The 22,980-nt window shown below is 36.5% G+C and overlaps 1 protein-coding gene and 1 long non-coding RNA gene across 12 annotated transcripts in view; one reads left to right on the forward strand and one right to left on the reverse strand.

The window, feature by feature from the left end:
- Positions 1-22,980, forward strand: part of CHRM2 (cholinergic receptor muscarinic 2) — a 151,562-nt gene that overhangs the window by 106,084 nt on the left and 22,498 nt on the right. For 5 of the 11 annotated variants that reach the window (NM_001006630.2, NM_001006626.3, NM_000739.3 and 2 more), the window contains one exon: positions 17,452-17,529. The exons of 4 other annotated variants lie outside the window; for them this stretch is intronic. The gene's annotated coding sequence lies outside the window, so the exon portion shown is untranslated. Of the gene's footprint in view, positions 1-8,703; positions 12,368-17,451; positions 17,530-22,980 lie in introns of those variants that run through there. 2 more of the 11 variants (NM_001378972.1, XM_047419847.1) reach the window with 2 other exon arrangements.
- The window catches only part of LOC349160 (uncharacterized), a 265,569-nt gene that overhangs the window by 75,963 nt on the left and 166,626 nt on the right, over positions 1-22,980 (reverse strand). The gene's annotated exons all lie outside the window — the stretch shown is intronic.

The raw sequence follows: 22,980 nt of genomic DNA on the forward strand, positions 1-22,980 counted from the left end.
GATTTTATTCTCTGTTAAATAATTTTCAAGAGAAGAATTATATATTTAAATCCGTAAGTTACAAACATCACTGAGAGGTCAGAGTACAAGATAAATGTGAGCGAATGTGACTAAAGCCAGGGAGACCTGTTGGGTGGCCTTTGAAGGTGAGAACTGATGAGAACTGATAACTAATATAGTGATGGTAGTAATGCAATGGTGGCAACTAATATATAGAATATAAAAGAAATAGTATGTTATGGGATAAAAAGGTTTAAAAATTATAGGAAGAGTTAACAAGGGTTTCCAGGCTACTGGCTTACCACATGGCATGGAACAGTGCAAGACAGTATATAATTAGTTGCTAAGTACTGCAATTTCAATAATAAGCAATTTAAAGCTCATAGGAGTGGACAATAATTGAAGATGACTCTTTGCAGAAAGTGTCAGGATGTAAGCTGGGGTATCAGAGAAAAGGTATACATCAGCCTATAAGAAACAGCAATTTTCCCAAGTGTCTTAGAATTCACTTTCTTGTTTCCTGTTTGTGTTCTGGAGTCAACTGACACACAGGGAAGACATTTTCCTCCCCTTATGAACTCTAAAAAAGTGGAGTAAATGGATTTAAACATGGTCCATAGCCTTTCCCAAATAAAGTTATATTTCTAATTGGAGAAATACATAAATTTTCTATCACAGGCCCCAGTAGAGAAGGACAGGGGAAGGGAAAAAGAAGAAAGAAAATGAATTAATTGGTAATTATTTTCACAGAAAATGGGGAAGAATTCATAGAATAAGATTTTACTTTTTAGGTTGGAAATACTAATCTGCAATTTCCCCAATAAAACATAACAAAACCCAATGATAAAATCATCATATTGCCATTCTTAAATATTCAAACATCATGTTTTACTGCTTTCAAACAAGGTTTATAATATCAAAGGACAGATATTTGCCACTTTATTAAAGAGTGCTATAAGATTTCCATTTATTTTATCTCTTCCTATTGCCTTCACTTTTGCAAGTTGGTGCAGTATTTGGAACAAAGCCAATAAGATTGTGCCCATTATAAAACAGCCAACTGATGTAAACCAAACAAGAAAATAGAGTAGGGCAAATTATCACCTTCTCCACCCATACTGTGGCTACACCAGGATAATTCCAATACTCTCAAGGATGATGGTGTTCTCGTTCATATTTTCAAGGAGAATGTATTCAGATATGTCTATGTGAAATATACATCCATGTCAGTGGGTGACACAGTGCTATGTTCAGATAAGGTATTATGATTACAGAGACAGGAGAGGGATACTTCCAAAGAAGTTAAATTATAACTAGATCTTGAAGAATGGATAGAAATTGGCTAGTTAGAAAGAAGAAATGGTATATTATAAAAAATGAGCCATGTATACAAAGCCTCAAGGTTGGGCTACGGGCTAAGCATGGAGTATATTTAGGGGAACTGCAGGCTGGATTTTAAACTAAATATTAAAGAATTGTGGCCTATGAAGTATTGCATGACATAGAAGACTTCCAAATCAGAAATTTAGACATGAAATGATCTTAGGAAATTTTGAGTAGGAGATGGAGTTAGTGGCATTACTGATTTGTGGTGATAAAATATTAACATTATTAATACTAATGAAATTAATATTAGCTGAAAGTTGGTACCTATTGTGCTAGATACTTAATAACTAATTCAGTCCTGACAATACTCTATGATGTATGTAATATTATTATTATTATAACAATTTTCCAGATTTGCAAACCAAGAAATAAAGTGGCTAAGATACTTGTGCAAGTAACAGAAATAGAACATGAAAGAGCAGGCTTCTGAACTGGGCACAGCCTAGGTTCTTAAGTTCTGCATTGAGTTTGTTATTTGTAGGACAAAATAAAGGGAAAACCTGCTGAGAAACCACATAGGAGCCTATTCTCGTGCATCAGGTCTGAGCTTTTGAGGGACTAGACATTAGCAACAACAGGAAAGGTCTGCAGGTGACCCTTTGGTTTTATTTTACTCAGAGCAAGATGTCTATTTGGGTCAAATTTAAACATTTGAAGAGAGAAACTCTTACTCCCTGCTGCAGGGATTAATCTCACCACTAGTCCTTAGTCAACTTGGTCCATGGAACAATGTCCCCGGTGCTCTAACTAATTCACTGGTGATATTTGCTTTCCCTGAGGGACAGTCATTTTCTTAATTCTACTCACTGAGTTTTGTTTCTGGAAATGTTGCAGTCTATTGACTATGTAAACATTGTAGTTGCTTTTCCATGAAAACACATAACATTCCTATTGTACTGTGTGTACTACTATTGGCTTTTAGAAGAAAGAAAATATAAGTGACTTGGCACCACTGTGAAAGATAGAACATCTGTTTGCTTTGGAATCCAAGAGAAGCTCTCCACATGGCTTCCCTCTAAAGCAGATTAGTAAGCAACTTGTGGATAAATTATCCCAAGAGCTTCCTTACCCACATGATTAAGATTTTAATGTCCCCTACAACTGATTCTGTCATTTTAATGGTTTCATGATATCTATTCTCTGTGGGACAGATTTCTAATGGTACAGGAAGCTGTGGGTTTCTCTGATTTCCCCTAACTTCTCTTCTTAGGATTTTATGTCCTTTGCTGATCAGCAGAACTTACCTTAGGATATGCTTCCCTGAATCTTTTTTTTTTCTTTTTTCTTTTCCCACTCATCCATTTACAAGGTCTTACGATAGACAGTGGGTTTACAATGGAAATTGTAATTTCTTCAAGTAAAAAGAAATGAATAAGTTGCAAGTGCTGATAGAAAGCTAGTACACAGTTTTAGAAAAGATCAGAGGAGGGACACTCAACGCAGTCTTGAGGTATCAGAAAAGGTTTCTCACAGAAATTACTTTTAAGCTACGACTTGAATGGTCTTATCCAACATAAGGATGAGGCAAGGCCAAGGGTGGTTTGCTAACGGTAGGCTATCATTTCAGGGAGAATAAATGGCATGCACAAATGCAAGGAGGTAAAAGAATCATTGGTTTAATTTGTTCCACTTGTCAATCATTTTTCTTGTTGCAATTGCTTTTGGGGACCTACCCATAAATTCTTTACCAAGGCCAATGTCCAGAATGGTATTTCCTAGGTTTTCTTCCAGAATTTGTATAGCTTGAGGTCTTACATTTAAATCTTTAATCCATCTCAAGTTAATTTTCATATACTGTGAAAGGTAGGGGTCCGGTTTCATTCTTCTGCATATGGCTAATCAGTTATGGTATTCCCGTACCATTTACTGCATAGAGAGCCCTTTACCCATTACTTATTTTTGTTGAAACTTAATATAAGAAATAGACACTGGGAACTACTAGAGAGGGGGTGGAGGAGGGGGAACACGGGCTGGAAAACTACCCATTGGGTACTATAGGGTCACTACTTGGGTGACGGGATCATCTGTATCCCAAACCATAGAGCCATACAACATACCCACGCAATAAATCTCCCTTTGTAACCACTGAATCTAAAATCAAACTTACAATTATTTTTAAAAAGAATTATTGGAATGTTTAAGAAACTTTATTTCCATTCACGTGCCTAATCAATTACTTGATTCATTTAGCATGGCATACACAAACTGTGTTCTATAGTGTATTTTTTCTACAAGATGTTAATACATATGCTTTGAGAGGAAATGTTCTCTGCTCAAATAATTTTGAGAAACACTGAAAAGGCTGAATTTTAAACAGGAGATTTATTAGCGCATCTTTTTTTTATTGTACTTTAAGTTTTGGGATACATGGGCAGAACGTGCAGGTTTGTTACATAGGTATACATGTGCCATGGTGGTTTGCTGCACCCATCAACCCATGTTCTACATGAAGTATTTCTCCTAATGCTATCCCTTCCCTTGACCCACACCCCCCGACAGGCCCCGGTATGGATGGTCCCCTCCCTGTGTCCATGTGTTCTCATTGTTCAACTCCCACTTATGAGTGAGAACATGCAGTGTTTGGTTTTCTGTTTCTGTGTTAGTTTGCTGAGAATGATGGTTACCAGCTTCATCAATATCCCTGCAAAAGACATGAACTTATTATTTTTTATGGCTGCATAGTATTCCGTGGTGTATATGTGCCACATTTTATTTATCCAGTGTAGCATTGATGGGCATTTGGGTTGGTTTCAAGTCTTTACTATTGTGAATAGTGCTACAATAAACATACGTGTGCATGTGTCTGTATAGTAGAATGATTTATAATCTTTTGGGTATATACCCAATAATGGGACTGCTGGGTCAAATGGTATTTCCAGTTCTAGATGCTTGAGGAATTGCCACACTGCCCTCCACAATGGTTGAACTAATTTATACTCCCACAAACAGCATAAAAGCATTCCTATTTCTCCACATCCTCTCCAGCATCTGTTGTTTCCCGACTTTTTAATGATCACCATTCTAGCTGGCATGACAGGGTATCTCATTGTGGTTTTGATTTGCATTTCTCTAATGACATGTGATGATGAGCTGTTTTTCATGTTTGTTGGCTGCATAAGTGTCTTCTTTTGAAAAGTGTCTGTTGATATCCTTTGCCCACTTTCTGATGGAATTGTTTATTTCTTGTAAATTTGTTTAAGTTCCTTAGAGATTCTGGATATTAGTGCTTTGTCAGATGGATAGATTGCAAAATTTTTCTCCTATTCTGTAGGTTGCCTGTTCACTCTGATGATAGTTTCTTTTGCTGTGTAGAAGCTCTTTAGTTTAATTAGATCCCATTTGTCAATTTTGGCTTTTGTTGCCATTGCTTTTGGTATTTCAGTCATGAAGCCTTTCCCCAGGCCTATATCCGTAATGGTATTGCCTAGGTTTTCTTCTAGAGTTTTTATGGTTTTATGTCTTACATTTAAATCTTTAATCCATCTTGAGTTAATTTTTGTGTAAGGTGTAAAGAAGGGGTCCAGTTTAAGTTTTCTGCATATGGCTAGCCAGTTTTCCCAACACCATTTATTAAATAGGGAATCCTTTCCCCATTGCTTGTTTTTGTCAGGTTTGTCAAAGATCAGACGACTGCAGATGTGTGGTGTTATTTCTGAGGCCTCTGTTCTGTTCCATTGGTCTATATATCTGTTTTGGTACCAGTACCATGCTGTTTGGCTACTGTGGCCTTGTAGTATAGTTTGAAGTCAAGTAGCATGATGCCTCCAGATTAGTTCTTTCTGTTTAGGATTGTCTTGGCTATATGGGCTCTTTTTTGGTTCCATATAAAATTTAAAGTAGTTTTTTCTAATTCTGTGAAGAAAGTCAATGGTAGCTTGATGGGAATAGCATTGAATCTATAAATTTCTTTGGTCAGTATGGCCATTTTCATGATATTGATTCTTCCTATCCATGAGCATGAAATGTTTTTCCATTTGTTTGTGTCCTCTCTTACCTCCTTGAGCAGTGGTTTGTAGTTCTCCTTAAAGAGGTTCTTCACATCCTTTGTAAGTTGAATTCCTAGGTATTTTATTCTCTTTGTAGCAGTTGTGAATGGGAGTTCACTCATGATTTGGCTCTCTGTTTGTCTATTATTTGTGTATAGGAATCTTGTGATTTTTGCACATTGATTTTGTATCCTGAGACTTTGCTGAAGTTGCTTATGAGCTTAAGGAGATTTGGGGTGAGACAATGGGGTTTTCTAAATATCCAATCATGTCATCTGCAAACAAATATAATTTGACTTCCTCTCTTCCTATTTGAATATCCTTTATTTATTTCTCTTGCCTGATTGCCCTGGTCAGAACTTCCAATACTTTGTTAAATAGGAGTGGTGAGAGAGGGCATCCTTGTCTTCTGCCAGTTTTCAAAGGAAATGCTTCCAGCATTTTCCCATTCAGTATGATATTAGCTGTGGTTTTGTCATAAATAGCTCTTATTATTTTGAGATGCGTTCCATCAATACCTAGTTTATGAGTATTTTTAGCAAGAAGGGGTGTTGAATTTTATGGAATGCCTTTTCTGCATCTATTGAGATAATAATGTGGTTTTGTCATTGGTTCTGTTTATGAGATGGATTACGTTTATTGATTTGTGTGTGTTGAACCAGCCTTGCATCCCAGGGATGAAGCTGACTTGATCATAGTGGATAAGCTTTTTAACGTGCTGCTGGATTCAATTTGCCAGTATTTTACTGAGGATTTTCGCATCGATGTTCATCAGGGATGTTGGCTTGAAATTTTCTTTCTTTTGTGTGTCTCTGCCAGCTTTTGGTATCAGGATGATGCTGGCCTCATAAAATGAGTTACGGAGGACTCCCTCTTTTAATATAGTTTGGAATAGTTTCAGGAGGAATGGTATCAGCTGCTGTTTGCAACTCTGGTAGAATTCAGCTGTGAATCCGTCTGTTCCTAGGCTTTCTTTGGTTGGTAGGGTATTAATTACTGCCTCAATTTCAGAACTTGTTACTGGTCTATTCAGGGATTCAACTTCTTCCTGGTTTAGTCTTGGGAGGTTGTATCTGTCCAGGAATTTATCCATTTCTTCTAGATTTTTTAATTTATTTGCACAGAGGTGTTTATAGGATTCTCTGATGGTAGTTTGTATTGCAGTGGGATCAGTGGTAATATCACATTTATCATTTTTCATTGTGTCTATTTGACTCTTCTTTCTTTTCTTGTTTATTAGTCTGGCTAGCAGTTTATCTATTTTGTTAATCTTTTCAAAAACCAGCTCCTGGATTCAATGAATTTTTGAAGGGCTTTTCATGTCTCTATCTCCTTCACTGAAGGAAATCTGCTCTGATCTTAGTTATTTCTTGTCTTCTGCTAGCTTTTGAATTTGCTTGCTCTTGTTTCTCTACTTGTTTTAATTGTGATGTTAGGGTATCAATTTTAGATCTTTCCTGCTTTCTCCTGTGGGCATTTAGTGCTATAAATTTCCCTCTAAACACTGCTTTGGTGTGTCCCAGAGATCTGGTATGTTGTGTCTTTGTTCTCATTGGTTTCAAAGAACTTATTTATTTCTACCTTAATTTCGCTATTTACCCAGTAGTTTTTCAGGAGTAGGTTGTTCAGTTTCCATGTAGTCGTGTGGTTTTGAGTGAGTTTCTTAATCCTGAGTTCTAATTTGATTGCACTGTGGTCTGAGAGAGTGTTTGTTAAGATTTCCATTCTTTTGCATTTGCTGAGGAGTGTTTTACTTCCAGTTATGTGGTCAATTTCAGAATAGGTGTGATGTGGTGCGGAGAAGAAAGTATATTCTGTTGATTTGGGGTGGAGAGTTCTGTAGATGTCTATTAGGTCGACTTGGTCCAGAGCTGAGTTCAAGTCTTCAATATCCTTGTTAATTTTCTGTCTCATTGATCTAATATTGACAGTGGGGTGTTAAAGTCTCCCACTACTATTGTTTAGGAGTCTAAGTCTCTTTGTATGTCTCTAAGAACTTACTTTTTGAATCCTGGTGCTCCTGTATTGGGTGTATATATATTTAGGATAGTTAGCTCTTCTTCTTGCATTGATCCCTTTATCATTATGTAATATACTTCTTCGTCTTTTTTGATCTTTGTTGCGTTAAAGTCTGTTTTATCAGAGACTAGGATTGCAACCCCTACTTATTTTGCTTTTCATTTGCTTGGTAAATCTTCCTCCATCCTTTTATTTTGAGCCTACGTGTGTCTTTGCCCATGAGATGGGTCTCCTGAATACAGCACATCAACGGATGTTGACTCTTTATCCAATTTGCCAGTCTGTGCATTATAATTGGGGCATTTATCCCATTTACATTTAAGGTTAATATTGTTATGTGTAAATTCGATCCTGTCATTATGATGCTAGCTGATTATTTTGCCCATTAGTTGGTGCTGTTTCTTCATAGTCAATGGTCTTTACATTTTGGTTTGTTTTTGCAGTGGCTGGTACCGGTTTTTCCTTTCCATATTTAATGCTTCCTTCAGGAGCTCTTGTAAGGCAGGCCTGGGGGTGACAAAATCCCTTTGCATTTGCTTGTATGTAAAGGATTTTATTTCTCCTTCACTTATGAAGCTTATTTTGGCTGGATATGAAATTCTGGGTTGAAAATTCTTTTCTTTAAGGATATTGAATATTGGCCCCCACTCTCTTCTGGCTTGTAGGGTTTCTGCAGAGAGATCTGTTGTTAGTCTGATGGGCTTCCTTTTGTGAGTAATGTGACCTTTCTCTCTGCTGCCCTTAACATTTTTTCCTTCATTTCAACCTTGGTGAATCTGACGATTATGTGTCTTGGGATTGCTCTTCTTGAGGAGTATCTTTGTGGTATTCTCTGTATTTTCTGAATTTGAATGTTGGCCTGTCTTACCAGTTTGGGGAAATTCTCTTGGATAATATCCTGAAGAGTGTTTTCCAACTTGGTTCCGTTCTCCCCATCACTTTTAGGTACACCAATCAAACGTAGGTTTGGTCTTTTCACATAGTCTCATATTTCTTGGAGGCTTTATTCATTCCTTTTCATTCTTTTTACTCTAATCTTGTCTTCATGCTTTTTTTTATTAAGTTGATCTTCAATCTCTGTTATTCTTTCTTCCACTTGATCAATTCAGCTATTCATACTTGTGTATGCTTCACAAAGTTCTCGTGCTGTGTTTTTCATCTCCATCAGATCATTTATGTTCTTCTTTAAACTGGTTATTCCAGTTAGCAATTTTATCAAGTTTCTTAGCTTCCTTGCATGGGGTTAGAACATGCTCCTTTAGCTTGGAGGACTTTGTTATTACCCACCTTCTGAGGTCTACTTCTGTCTATTCATCAAACTCATTCTCTGTCCAGTTTTGTTCCCTTGCTGGTGAGGAGTTGTGATCCTGTGGAGGAGAAGAAGTGTGCTGGTTTTTGGAATGTTCAGCCTTTTTGCACTGGTTTTTCCTCATCTTCATGGATTTATCTACCTTTGGTTTTTGCTGTTGGTGACCTTCAGATGGAGGTTTTACGTGGACGTACTTTTTGTTTATGTTGATGCTACTGCTTTCTCTTCGTGAGTTTTCCTTCTAACAGTCAAGTCCCTCTTCTGCATGTCCGCTGGAGTTTGCTGGGGGTCCACTTCAGACCCTGTTTGCCTGGGTGTCACCAGCAGAGGCTGCAGAACAGCAAAGATTGCTGCCTGCTCCTTCCTCTGGAAGCTTCATCCCAGAGGAGCTCCTGCCAGATGCCAGTCAGAGCTCTCCTGTATGAGGTGTTTGTCAATCCCTGCTGGGAGATGTCTCCCCATCAGGAGGCCCAGGGGTCAGGGACTTGACCCTTGAGGAGGTAGTCTGTCCCTTGGCAGAGCTTGGGCACTGTGCAGGGAGATCCGCTGCTCTCTTCAGAGCTGGCAGGCAGAAATGTTTAAGTTTGCTGAAGCTGCACCCACAGCTGCCCCTCCCCCAAGGTTCTCTGTCCCAGGGATATGGGAATTTTATCTATAACCCCCTGACTGGGGCTGCTGCCTTTCTTTCAGAGATGCTGTGTCCAGAGAGGAGGAATCTAGAGAGGCAGTCTGGCTATAGTGGTTTGGTAGTGATGTGGTGGGCTCCACCCAGTCCACACTTCCCAGAGGCTTTGTTTGCACTGTGAGGGGAAAGCCGCCTACTCAAGCCTCAGTAATGGTGGATGCCCCTCCCCCCACCAAGCTGGAGCATCCCAGGTGGACTTCAGACTGCTGTGCTGGCAGCGAGAATTTCAAGCCAGTGGATCTTAGCTTGCTGGGCTCCGTGGGTGTGGGATTTACTGAGCAAGACCACTTGGCTCCCTGGCTTCAGCCCCCATTCCAGGGAAGTGAACAGTTCTGTCTCGCTGGCGTTCCAGGCACCACCGGGGTAAGAAAAAAAAAAACTTCTGCAACTAGCCCAGTGTCTGCCCAAAGGGCTGCCCAGTTTTGTGCTTGAAACCCAGAGCCCTTGTGGTGTAGGCACCCAAGGGAATCTCCTCCCTGGTCTGTAGGTTGTGAAGACCATAGAAAAATGTAGTATATGGGTTAGAGAGCACCATTCCTCACGGCACAGTCCTTCACGGCTTCCCTTGGCTAGAGGAAGGAGTTCCCTGACCCCTTGCACTTCCTGGGTGAGGCAATGCCCCACCCTGCTTCTGCTTGCCCTCCATGGGCTGCATCCACTGTCTAACAATCTCAATGAAATGAATCTGGTACCTCAGTTGGAAAGGCAGAAATCACCTGCCTTCTGCGTTGGTCTCGCTGGGAGCTGCAGACCAGAGCTGTTCCTATTCAGCTATCTTGCTCAGGAATCCTAGAGCATCTTTAATACATCAGTGTGCATTATGGCACAACAAATGAAGAATTGAGCGTAAGAGTTCTCCCAGACTTATTTGACAGTAGAATGGTTTATTCTACAGAAAGTTTGTTTAACAATTTGTGGAACTAGTTAGTATTCTATAGAATAAACTTTGTCATTGCTGTTCTAGTATCATGGTAAGGTGCTGGAAACCCTAATGCCAATGCTGCAACACACAGCACTGAGGTAAAAGCTGCACATGTGAGCACATATGCATTCCAGCCATATTATTTTTGACCAGCTACTAGGATTTTAAAGATTACTCGAGTTAATTTTAAAAACCACCTTGGCTCACGCCTGTAATCCCAGCACTTTGTGAGGCCAAGGTGTGTAGATCATGAGGCCAGGAGTTTGAGACCAGCCTGACCAACATGATGAAACCCCGTCTCTACTAAAAATACAAAAATTAGCTGGGTGTGGTGGCACATGCCTGTAATCCCAGCTACTCAGGAGGCTGCGGTAGGAGAATCGCTTGAACCCGGCAGGCGAAGGTTGCAGTGAGCTGAGATCATGCCACTGCATTCCAGCCTGGGTAACAGAGTTAGACTCCAAAAAAAAAAAAAAAAAAAAAAAACAAAAACACCTCTAATATCTGAAATATCCTGAGTCATGGCATTGAAGAAAGCAATGGAGTTTGTATCAATCTAAGACAGGATTACATTTCAATCGTCCAAGATTATTTATAAGAAAGGACCTAGATTAGCATCTTACAATCAATTCCAGCATAGCCTAAATCTACCTGTCTTTTATTTAGAACATAATGTTACTTGAGCATTTCCTTAAGTTCCCTAGGTAGTATTCCACTACAGACGACCAATATTAAGGTATATTTTCTGGGTTGTATGGAGTTCACTCACTGGCAAGACCTCTGAGTAAACAGAATTTATAATAACATTGGTATTTTCCATATTCATTTGGCAAAGATCAGCTTCCACACTGAGGTGATTTTTCAACCAGTGGATGAGGCAAACAAAATCTTCTAATAGCTTTCCATTACTTAAAAGGTTAAAAACAGAGGAGAGGGGGATCTTAAGCATAATGACAGCTCTTCCTTGTTCTTTTTTATATAAATGAATGGATTCTCAATAACTACACCAAGTGACCCGTCCTATCATCATCCCTCTCTCATCCTAGAAATAGATGAGAACCCAATCAGCTGATTTATGACTCATTTGGACAGTGATGGAAATGGAGAGGATCGTTCTTTTCAGCAGGCCCCGAACCCACCTCAGAACTATCTTTAAAGTTGAACCCATGACTGAGGAAGCACCAAAGCATTTCCTTATTTTGGCAGTTTATTTTTTTTAAATAAGTATTCATCATCTTACTCCCTTTCCTTCTTTAGATACACAATTTTCCCCTCAAAGATTAAATTATCTATATTAGTACTTTTCTATACCCTAATTATTTAAAAAATCCAAGTAATATGCTTATAGGCCCAATCTCATTAACAATATATTCTAAGCTATAAGCTCTCATTTCAATATAAGAGCAAAGGAAAGCAGGGTGTATAAACTGAATCTGCAAGGTCCTGATCACAGTTAGTTAAATTTACTGTAGACCACTCAATAGCTTTCCAAACACTGGCCTCCTTATTTCTCACATGTTGGGTTCATCAATTAAGATATATTTGGGCAATTAGCATCAACCACTTTTGTTCTTCCGTAATTTGCCTGATCATAATTTTGACAATATTTATCTTGTTAAAAATTTGGTCTAAATGTCTCTTACAATGAGCTAAGAAATGTCAAATAATGATTTGTTCTACCCTGGGGCAAGCCGTATTCCTAAGCAGATTCAATCAGGAGCACCTGCAAAACATATAAGTTACCCAGGCTTCCTTGTCTATAGGGACCGTTTTTGTTCCAGATTGAACAGAAGTTTTAGGTTTGCTCAAACTCATTCTTATTGTATATGAAATACACCCTTCTTATAATGGACCCAATTTATTTATTAGTATATGCATTCATTCATTCACTTATTAACTTATTTTTCTACCTGCATCTGATGCAAAACATCTCACCTTTTTGTACCAGGCAAAACAGAAACGAACAGGCAAAACCTGAACGAACCAAACAAAAACTGATTTTCTCTTCCGCTTGAGAAAATGCAACTCTAATGTCCTCAACAGTTTCTTACTGCCTCCAGGTATCCTTTCTTTTTTATTTCTCTTTCTTTTTCTCTTCCTCCTTTCTCTATTTTTCCTTTCCTTAAAGTTCAGGTTCACAGGTCCCTTTCCTCTGTGACCCTGCTCCAGCACATAGCACAGGGACTGTGTTGAAACAGCAGCAGCCCACAGTCAAAAGTTCCTTCTTTTGCTGCAAGACAATCATTTAGGGGCACCCTCTGTTGCTTCAGACATATCCCAGCTCTATGTCACTGGGCTTCCTTCTCCACATGTGGGGACTGCCCTTGGGGCTTATCCACTGTTTTCTACATTTGCACACTCTGAAACCATGAACATCCTCTCACCATTAAAATCAGAGGTCAAAAGACAGATCTAGAGAAAATTTCTGTCAAAGCTATGCCCAGTCTCCCTACTAGTCATTTGATTAACTTAACATCACGTATTGTACACCCAGTGTTTACTTAACATGGTCCTCACAGTTGCAGATACAAACCCTCAAAGACGCTCAAGTGAGTTCATCTGCCACTGTGCTTCACACTGGCCACAGCTGTGCCAATGGATCAGGGTAGGGCAAATGACAAATGGGTGAACTATACGGAGGCAAGGATGCGTCAGTCGGAGCTACCAGGGACTATTTCCAAAAGGTTAGCCTTTTAAATGTGCATCCCTCCTTATTCAATCATATTACCCTCTCTGGGGCCACTTACATATTCTCTTAAACACATTCGGACTTCAATTAAGTCCATCTCTCTTCAGGGATTGTGTATAACACTCCTTATTGATCCCAACAGTTCCAAATTTTCTTATTTTATTACATATTTTTATAAGCAAATAGGGTGCAGATTAGTTTAATATTAGTATTTTCCCTTTCTAAAATGAGAAGGAACATTGTGCATGTAAATCATACTTACAAAAATAAATTCACAAATATTTCATCCCTAAAAACAGTAGAATTTTATGTATAATATATTTATTTACATATATGAATATATAAAAATTTATGTATGTAAATATATGTATATTTAGATATATATAAAACAATGTATCATTTTCCAGGGAAGGTTCTTTAATAGATACATATATCCAGAATAGTTCAGATACAGATCATAATTAGTCCCAGTGGTTCTTCATTAAAAAGGAAAAGAAAAGAAAGGGAAGACAAAAGGAAAGAGAAAGGAGGTCAGGGAAGAGAAGAGGAAAAAAGGAGTGGGAAGAGGAGGTGAGGGAAGGAGAGGGAAGGGAAAAAGCTGCAGGACAGAAAATACCATGTAATCTGTAGAAAATCAAATTTGAGTCAGTAATTACTAATTTGTGTACTAATAGGTAATATAATTGAGTGCTCATTATCTGCTGGCCTATATGTTATGTGCTCTACATATATTATCTCATTTAATACTTGTAACAATTTTATAGATTTTTTTCATTGTAGAGAGAAGGTGACTGAGGCTTAGAAAGGTTAAGTAACTTGTCCAAGGTTACACAGCTCTGCACTGGGATCCAATGGTACCGTCAGCTTCAACCTGTACTCTTTATTTCTTCTCTCATGACTGTCAACAAATAGAGTAGACAAATAATAATTTACTGGATAATAAGTTCAACTGTGTCCTGCAGCCAATGCTTGCCTAAGAAAATCAGCAAAAATGAGATAATAAAGCACCAAGTGCATCTAGATGGTGACTTGATTATCTTGTGTTCTTGTCCTGATTATAGGCTGTTGCCATTTTTGTGAGTCAAAATGGTTGAATATTGGCAATTTTATAAAATTGAGTCTAATAAATATGCCTATACATATACATATATTTTATATATTTATACAAATAAATTTATGAATTCATGATAATCAATGCTTATTTAGTATATTCGAATTTAAGAAAATATTTTAAATACTTTTAGAATTTTACAGTCTTCCCACCAAACCTATGAGGTTGGTGCCATTATTTTCCTCATTTTATAAAAGAGGAAATTAAAGCTTTAGAGGTTTTATAACTTGCTAAAAGTCACATCAAAAGTGACAGAACCAGGGTCTGTTCCTTATTAGTCTGATTTTAGTACTAATTCTCTTGACCACAATGATATATTGATCCATATTTAATATATGTATTTCTATATGTTTGGGAAAAATCCATGCTAAGGTTAAAGATTTTTGTTTTTATAGTTTTAACTTTTTGCATCTTTCTTTCATATATCTCCTTTCATTTAATAGATCTTCCTTATTTTTATTTGATATTTAAAGGGATGAAAGTTAAAACAGTTAAGTAACTAACTCAAAGTCACACAGTGATTAATGACTGGAGAAGGACTCAAATTTATCTTAGTATGATGCATACTTACGGAAATTCAGATGCTTAATTGAGAAGTAGTTTATATAAAGAGAATAAAACCTATCTTGTCTTGCAAACTAATTGCTAAAGATGTGCATCCATGATACCCACTGTAGACTCATTAGCCTTTTGTAGGAAGTTCAAGTCCCTCTGCTTTTTGGAGTTCCCACTAGTCATAGGAATATGTATGTCATTATTGACTTTTCCCCTCCCTCATTCTCCAAATTCAATTATACATTTTAAAACCTAGCATGTCTTCTCCATCCCTTTCATTTATTTCTGCCCTAGGTCCTTTGTTTGCCATGGATCATTGCGTGACTTAGGTACTAATCTTTCTGCTCCTGGTTTTGTCCCTTAAAATCCATCCCCTTCACAACTATTTCAGAAATTTACTTAAAATACAAATTTATTCATAGTACTTCCTTTTTTAGAACCTTCATCAGATCCCCATCCACTATAGCATGAAGTCTGAGTTTCTTAAGCAGAGCGCATACGTTTTCAACAGTTCAACTTCTTTCTGACTCTCAGCCACCTCCCTTCACCTCTCCCAGACTCAATTTTGCATTTCCAGCACCATTGAACTTACATGCACTGCAGTTTCTGGCCTTGTTACATTTACTCAGATTATTCTCTGCTGCATCATCATGATCATATTTATTTTTTAAGACTTTATTTTTTAAAGCAGTTTTAGGTCCATAGCAAAATTACAGAGATTTCTTATATACCTCCTACCCTCACACATGCACAGCCTCTACCATTTTCAACATCCTCTATCAGAGTGGTACATTTGTTGCAATGAATATACATTGAACACATCATTATCACCCAAAGTCCATAGTTTATATTGGGGTTCACTCTTGGTGTTGTACTTTCTATGAGCTTAGACAAATATATAATGACATGTACCCATCATTATATTATATGGTGTTTTTTTCACTGCCATAAAAGTCCTCAATGCTCCACCTATTCAGAACTCCATCCCTGGCAATTTCTGCCCACCATTGATCTTTTTACTGTCTTCACAGTTTTTGCCTTTTCCAGGATGTCATATAGTTGGATTCATACAGTATGCGGTCTTTTCATATTGCTGTCTCTCACGTAACAATATGCATTTAATGTTCCCTTATGTCTTTTCATGGCTTGATAACTTACTTGTTTTTAGCATTATGTAATACTCCATTGTCTGGATGTACCACAGTTTATTCATTCACCTACTGAAGGATATCTTTGTTGCTTCCACATTATGGCAATTATAAATAAAGCTGCTACAAATGTCTATGTGCAGGTTTTTGTGTGGACATGTTTTTAACTTATTTGGGTAAACATCAAGAAGCATATAATTATTTGCTGGATCTTATGGTAAGAGTATGTTGAGTTTTGTAAGAAACCACTGAATTATCTTCCAAAGTGGCTGTGCCATTTTTCAATTCCACCAGCAGTAGATGAATGTTTCTCTCGCCCCACAACCTCTCCAGGATTTGGTGTTGTCAGTGATCCAGATTATGGCCATTCTAATAAATGTGTAGTAGTTATCTCATTGTCTTGATTTGCATTTCCTTGATGGCATATGATATAAAGTATCTTTCCATATGCTAATTTACCATCTGTATATGTTTTCTGGTGAGTTATCCATTAAGATAACTGTGGGTTTGTCTTTTCATTTCTCTCAGTCTGTGGCTTCTTTGCTCATTGTCTTCACATTGTCATTCACAGAGAAGTTTACAATATTAATGAAGTTCAGTTTATCAATTATTTATTTCATGGATTGCCTTTGGTGTTGTATTTTAAAAGTCATCACCATACCCAAAGTCATGTAGTTTTTTCCCATATGTTACCTTCTAGGATTTTTATAGCTTTGCATTTTACAATTAGGTCTTTGATCCACTTTGAGCTAATTTTTGTGAAGGGAGTAAGGTCTGTGCTTAGATTCATTGGTTTTTTGCATGCAGATGTCCAGGTATTTCAGCATAATTTGTTGAAAAGACTATCTTTGCTCCATTGTATTGCCTATGCTCCTTTGTCAAAAATGAGTTGACTATATTCATGTGGGTCTATTTCTGAGCTCTCTATTATGTTCCCTTGATATATTTGTCTATTATTTTGCCAATACCAAACTGTTTTGATTACTACAGCTTTACACATATTTTTACAATACATTGTTGAGATAGGTACCATATTGTTCCATTGGAGAACACTGCCAAGCTTGGATTAACTTAGCTACCATCTGGAGGTGAGGAGGGAGGTGCACTTTTTCATAGATATTTATATAGATTGACAATCTTCTCTTGATTTTATTTTTCTTTGATGAAAATCCTTCCTCTGCCACGTCTGTCTGATAAAATTATATGCATAATCAATTTTCAATGATTCTGTATGATGAAACTTAGCAAATATACTCTTTGTCATGGAGGCAAACTACAGTAGCTGATTACCATTTTTTAATGAGAGCTAGGGTTACAATACTTACTATTATCACACTTATTTTAAGCTGAAGGCCTTTACTCAGACCATGTTTCTCAGAGTCACTTCTCTTTGAGTACATGTGATTCTATTCTCAGGCCTAAGTGAGATGCCAGTCTTCCATGTTCCTGGAGGAGTAAACCTTTGTCCTGACAGGTGCATGTACTTCAGATGTTGGTGTCTAACTTGAGTCACAACAGACTTTTCTCTCAAGAATTCCAGTTTAGGATCTGTCCTTGTAAAGACTAATATACTCCATTTTTCTGTTTGTTGTAATTATTTTTACTGTTTCCCACACATGTTTTGTTTCTCTTTTCTACCAGGTTGTTAGCGACATGAGTACAGGGTCTGGATCTTACCCATTCAAGAGTGTATTCTCAGCACCCAATGCCTGGCATATAGTAAGTGCTCAATAAATTTTTAATGAATAAATTAATACATTTATAGACAAAACATTAAGTTGTTGTGAAGTCACAATAATCCTTTGGAAAGGTAAATATGTCAAGTAAAATTAAACATCAGTTACTCTTATGAAATAATATTAATCTGGGTTGTCGTGTTAGGATATTTCTATTAACTTCCACTTAAACAGAACAACCCACAGACCAGGGACAAACTATTCACTAAGAACTATTTGTTATTCCAAATCAAGTTGATTCAACTTGTCAGGAAAAATGTTCTACACCCTACCGTAAGCACGTGACTTAATACATCAAAATTTCCTGAGTTTTTTAAATTTTCAAAATCTTCTGCCCTTAATGATGAATTTCCTCTAGAAGCAATATTTTAGTATTTGCAAATTCAGCGTTCACGTTGATTTTATAGAACGTAACTACCATCAGTAACAAGGATTGACTGACTCTCTCTCTCCCTCTGTCTTTCTCTCTATCTAAAGAGATTTCTTTTAAGGAATTGAATCATGAAACTATGAGAACTGGCAATTCTGAAATCATTAAGGCAGGCCAGCAGGCTACAAACTCACACAGGAGTTGGTGTTGCAATCTTGAGGTAGAATTTATTCTCCAAGAAACCTTAGTTTTTACTCTCAAGGTTTCAACTGATGGATGAGGCCCTGCATTATTAAGAAAAATCTCATTTACTTAAATTCAACTGATTGTACACGTTAATTATATATACAAAATACCTTCACAGCAACACCTAGATTTGTGTTTGATTAAATAACTAGGAACTATGTCACAATCAAATTGACACATAAAATTAACTATCAAAGTCATACAGTCATGATAGATACTGATGAGCTTATAGTAAGTCTGGTTCATTGAGAGGTATTTTTATTCATAGAAGTGAGTTATGGCTGTATCTTCACACAGACACATACAGTGAGAGAGAGGGAGAGAGAAAGAGAGGAAGAGAGCACAGATATAACATGCTCTTGCTTCAGCAAGTGAGATATTTGTATGATCAGGAGCAAAAGCTTAGCTATGAGACTCCCTTGATTTCAAGTCTGAGCACCATCTCTTACTAGCTGGCACATAACTTACTCATTTAATGTGCCTTAGTTTTCTTGTCTATAAAAATAGTACCACCTTTGACAGTGGGCCAATTGTTTTTAGATAAACAAAAATTGTTAGTTTTTCTCAGTATTAGCTCCCTGAGGTCAGGGGAGAGAGATATAATGCAGTGCATGTTCACACGTTCCCTTGAAAATGAAGCCACAACCCCTTGACAGGCATACGGAGAAGTGCCAGAGATGGCCATAGATGGGAAAGCAAACAACTCTAGCCCAGTGGCTTTCTGCCTGTCACTAAAATAAGCTCGAGCTAGGAAGAACATGATAATGGGGTTAGGTGCATAGTTCTGACCTTATCTCTTTAGTAAAGAAAAGCTTTTACATACATTAGCCTCAGAACCCATTCCAAAGTTCTATGATCAAAGAAATCCAACCCCAAAGTGAAAAAGTAAAATGAGGAAAAATACAGATCCTAAATGCTTTCCATACCTGATAATTTTTGTTTCAAAAGAAAAAAAGCACTCACAAATTCAGCATGCATAGAAATCATAGCCATCAACTTAAAAGTCTTAAAAAAATCCAGCCAATTGCCTCGTACATTCAATGATAAATAAATAAGAAAATAAATAAACCGATGTGACTATGTTTCCACTGTTTTGTTTAAAGGTTGCTTGCTTGCAGGTGATGGTTGCAATGCCACATAAATGCAGAATACTAACTGTGAAAGGTGAAATCAAGACCTTGCCGCTCCAAATGCTCTCTCTAGCTCTCTGATTGTACCTGCTCTCATGCTCCAACCCCTTTCCTGACCTCCACATCACAAACTGACAGACCTTGGGGAAAATGAAGGGATATTTTAAAGCAAAAATAAATCTGTCATTTTTATAGTCAAAAGTGTCAGAGCTCAAACATCAATGGTGTTTCAGAAGAGTCAGTAATGTATTTTGTATCCATGCTTACTGCAGATGTCATCATTAGTGGTCATTCCATATGAAAGTTATTTCTGAGTTGCTCCTGCATTGTAAAATAATCATTAATATTATGACTTTGCCTTAAAAAATAAACTCGCATTTTATTTGCTGGGCCACACTACATAAGCCACATCAATTTCTTATTTGATAGAGAGGTACTTATTTGGTTATATAATATTCATTTTCTATAGTGCTTTCTGCTCTTTTTTTCTTTTCTTTTTTTTTTTTTTTTTTTTTTTTTTGAGACGGAGTTTCGCTTTTGTTGCCTAGGCTGAAGTGCAATGGCACGATCTCGGCTCACCGCAACCTCCTCCTCGTGGGTCCAAGCGATTCTCCCTTTTTCAACAAAGAAAGACGTTTAGCACTATTGTCTTTATTCAAATAATTGTCATAACGATGAGGTTATTTTTCAAGTTATACACAATAAAATCAAATATATTAAATTTTTTAGATATTTATTTTTTAATTTAAAAGTAGCTTAAATTATTTGATAAATACTAACTTATGAGTGGGACTAGATCCCATATGATCTCAGCTTAGTTTAATAGGGAAGAGGGGATAAGCAGATTTATATACTGTATTCATTGTTTTGGAAAACTCTGTTCTTATCCATAACTTCGTTGCAATAGCCACCAGGTTATTACAACGATCCTTATTCAGAGGTGAGAAGGCTGTGGAATACAATTAACTTTAATAAATACAGAAGCATAATTTTGTATAAGCATAATTTCTTATTAACATATCAATTATTTATACGGAGAAAGTGGCCAAATGTAAAATAATAGCTTTTATATATTAATATATCCTATACACATTGTATAGAAGTAGTCAAGTACAAAACTAATAATTTTATCTTATTAACATATTCCCTATAGTCTATGTGAATTGTCTACATATACATACATCACAATTAGAAATATAGTGGCAAAAAGATCCCATTCACTGTGCAACTAAAAATAAGGAAGGTCGACCTTAGCAAGATATACACAAATATACATACACAAACACAGGTCTATAAAAATTTTATGTTCAATATTTGTATACCGAAAAATTACAACACATCAGAAAGGGACAAGAGAAAAAACTTGAATAAGTAAAAAATATTTCTTGATATGAATACTCAACATTATAAAAATGTTAATTATTTATAACAGACCAATAACAATTCCACAAGGGGCTGGGTGTGGTGGCTCATGCCCATAATTCCAGTACTTTCGGAGGCCAAAGTGAGAGAATCACTTGAGCCCAGGAATTCAGGACCAGCCTGGACAATATAGGGAGACCCTGTCTCTACAAAAATTAAAAAACATTACCCAGGTGTGGTGGTGCACACCTGTGGTCCAAGTTACTCTGGAGGCTGAGGTGGGAGGATTGCATGGTCCTGGAAGGCAGAGGTTGCAATAAGCCAAGACTGCACCACTGCACACTCCAGCCTTTGCAACAGAGCAAGAACCTGTCTCTAAATAAATAAATAAATAAAATTTTAAAAAATAATAATTTCATAAGGATAAAGGGATTCACAGATTATTCTAAAGTCATATAAATTAGCATGAAAATATAATAAAGATAATTAAAAATAAAACACTAATAAGTTGTACTTAAAATTAGAGCTTTTTAATATAATATAAAATTTACAATAAAAAATATTGCTACGGGTGTAAGAATAGACAGATAAAGCAATGGAATAGAATGGAAAGCCCAGAAACAGAACTCAGTGTATGGAATTATGTAATAAATGGTAGAACCACATTTCAAATTTGTGGAGAAAGTGTAAACTGCCTGATAAATGTTTCTGGAGTGATTTTTAAATTATTTTTTAAAATTGATATTAGATCTTTTTATACCTTATTCTAAATATAGTTTATATAAATTACAGTTTAAAGTATAAAATATATAAATTAGCTAAAGGAAATTATCATTAAATATTAACTTCTTGGGATGGAGAAAGTCTTTTTAAATGATATCACAAAAATAAGTATCAATAGATATAACACATGTAAAAACATCTATAAAAAGACAAAGGGTACATTTAAATGTCAATTGTCAAACACATGAACAGTATAAAACTTCACAAATCAATAAAATTATAGCTAAAACTTCAAACAGAATATTTTATTTATCTGATTCACAAAGCTTTTTAGTAATTATTCTTATTTTTGTTACTAGCTATAGGAAAATATCATTCTCATGAATTATGATTGGGATTTTGCTACCCAAAATAGCAAATGTATATAACTTTGGCCAATGATCTCATTTATAGGAATTTATCCTAAGAAAGCAATCATAGATCTATTAAAAAATCATGTACAAGGAAGTTTGCTACACTATTATATGCTAGAGTAAAAAATTAGAAATAAATTAAGTGTCACCAATAGAGAATTATTTAATGAAATTATAGTATGCCACAAAACTAAATATCATGTACCCATAAAAATGATGCATTAGATGTTTTCGAATGTCATAGGAAAATGTCTGTGATTATCTTTATTTGAAAACGTTATTACCCAGTACTAACAGCAAAGGTCATAGAGTGTGAGCCTACAGGCCAAAGCTGTCCACAAACATGTTTTGCTGGCTTCTCAGTATTTTATGACTTTGAGCCAAGATTTAAAAATTTGAAGAGTTAAGTATAAAAATCCAGATTTTCAGTGTTTCTTTATAATTCTAAATATGTGACAACTCTGTGTCCACATTCTCACCCAGCTGTATCTCAACAGTGGAGTAGTTGACAGCTTTTCTGATTCTCCCCCTCCAAGGACTACCAGCTGTACAGTGTGCATATGTTAACTTATGCCAGCTTCCTTCCTTTGCTCTTCAATCCCTTGCCTGGCCCCAGTGAAATAATGCATTGATATATACAATGTAATCTAAAACTTTAAAATAGTACATGTATATGTGTATGAGTGTATTGCATGCTCATGTATGTGTGTAGGAAGATAAACAAGATTTCAAAAGCAGTAAAAGTTCACAGTTGCTTCCAACCATGCTACACAGTCTTTGACAATGGAAAATATATTGATACTCTTCACTGTTTTATCCCCTGAAGTTGGCTAGAAGAAACTTATCTCTTGAATAATCAGGTAAAGTGGATGGCCCTTGTGAGTCAAATATAAATGATCGAGAATATTTTTTCTTCGGTTTACTTCTCTAAATGTTCTAATTTGAAAATCAGAAAAAGAAATAATTTTTACTTTTTAATGTCCAAACGCAGATGAAGGTTTCAAAGCAGAGCAAATACATATGGAAGATCAATCTCATGTGTTTTTTAAATTAAAAAGAAAGATACAGCATCTTTGAGACTCAATGCACCTGTCATTGGCAATGAATTCTGCTCTGCAACACAAAACATAATACTGTACAAGAAAGAATTTATTCTTGTCTGATCTTTGGAATTTTGTTTAGATTTCAGG

The sequence above is a fragment of the Homo sapiens genome, chromosome 7, assembly GCF_000001405.40.
Source record: "Homo sapiens chromosome 7, GRCh38.p14 Primary Assembly".
In the NCBI taxonomy this organism is placed as follows: domain Eukaryota; kingdom Metazoa; phylum Chordata; class Mammalia; order Primates; family Hominidae; genus Homo; species Homo sapiens.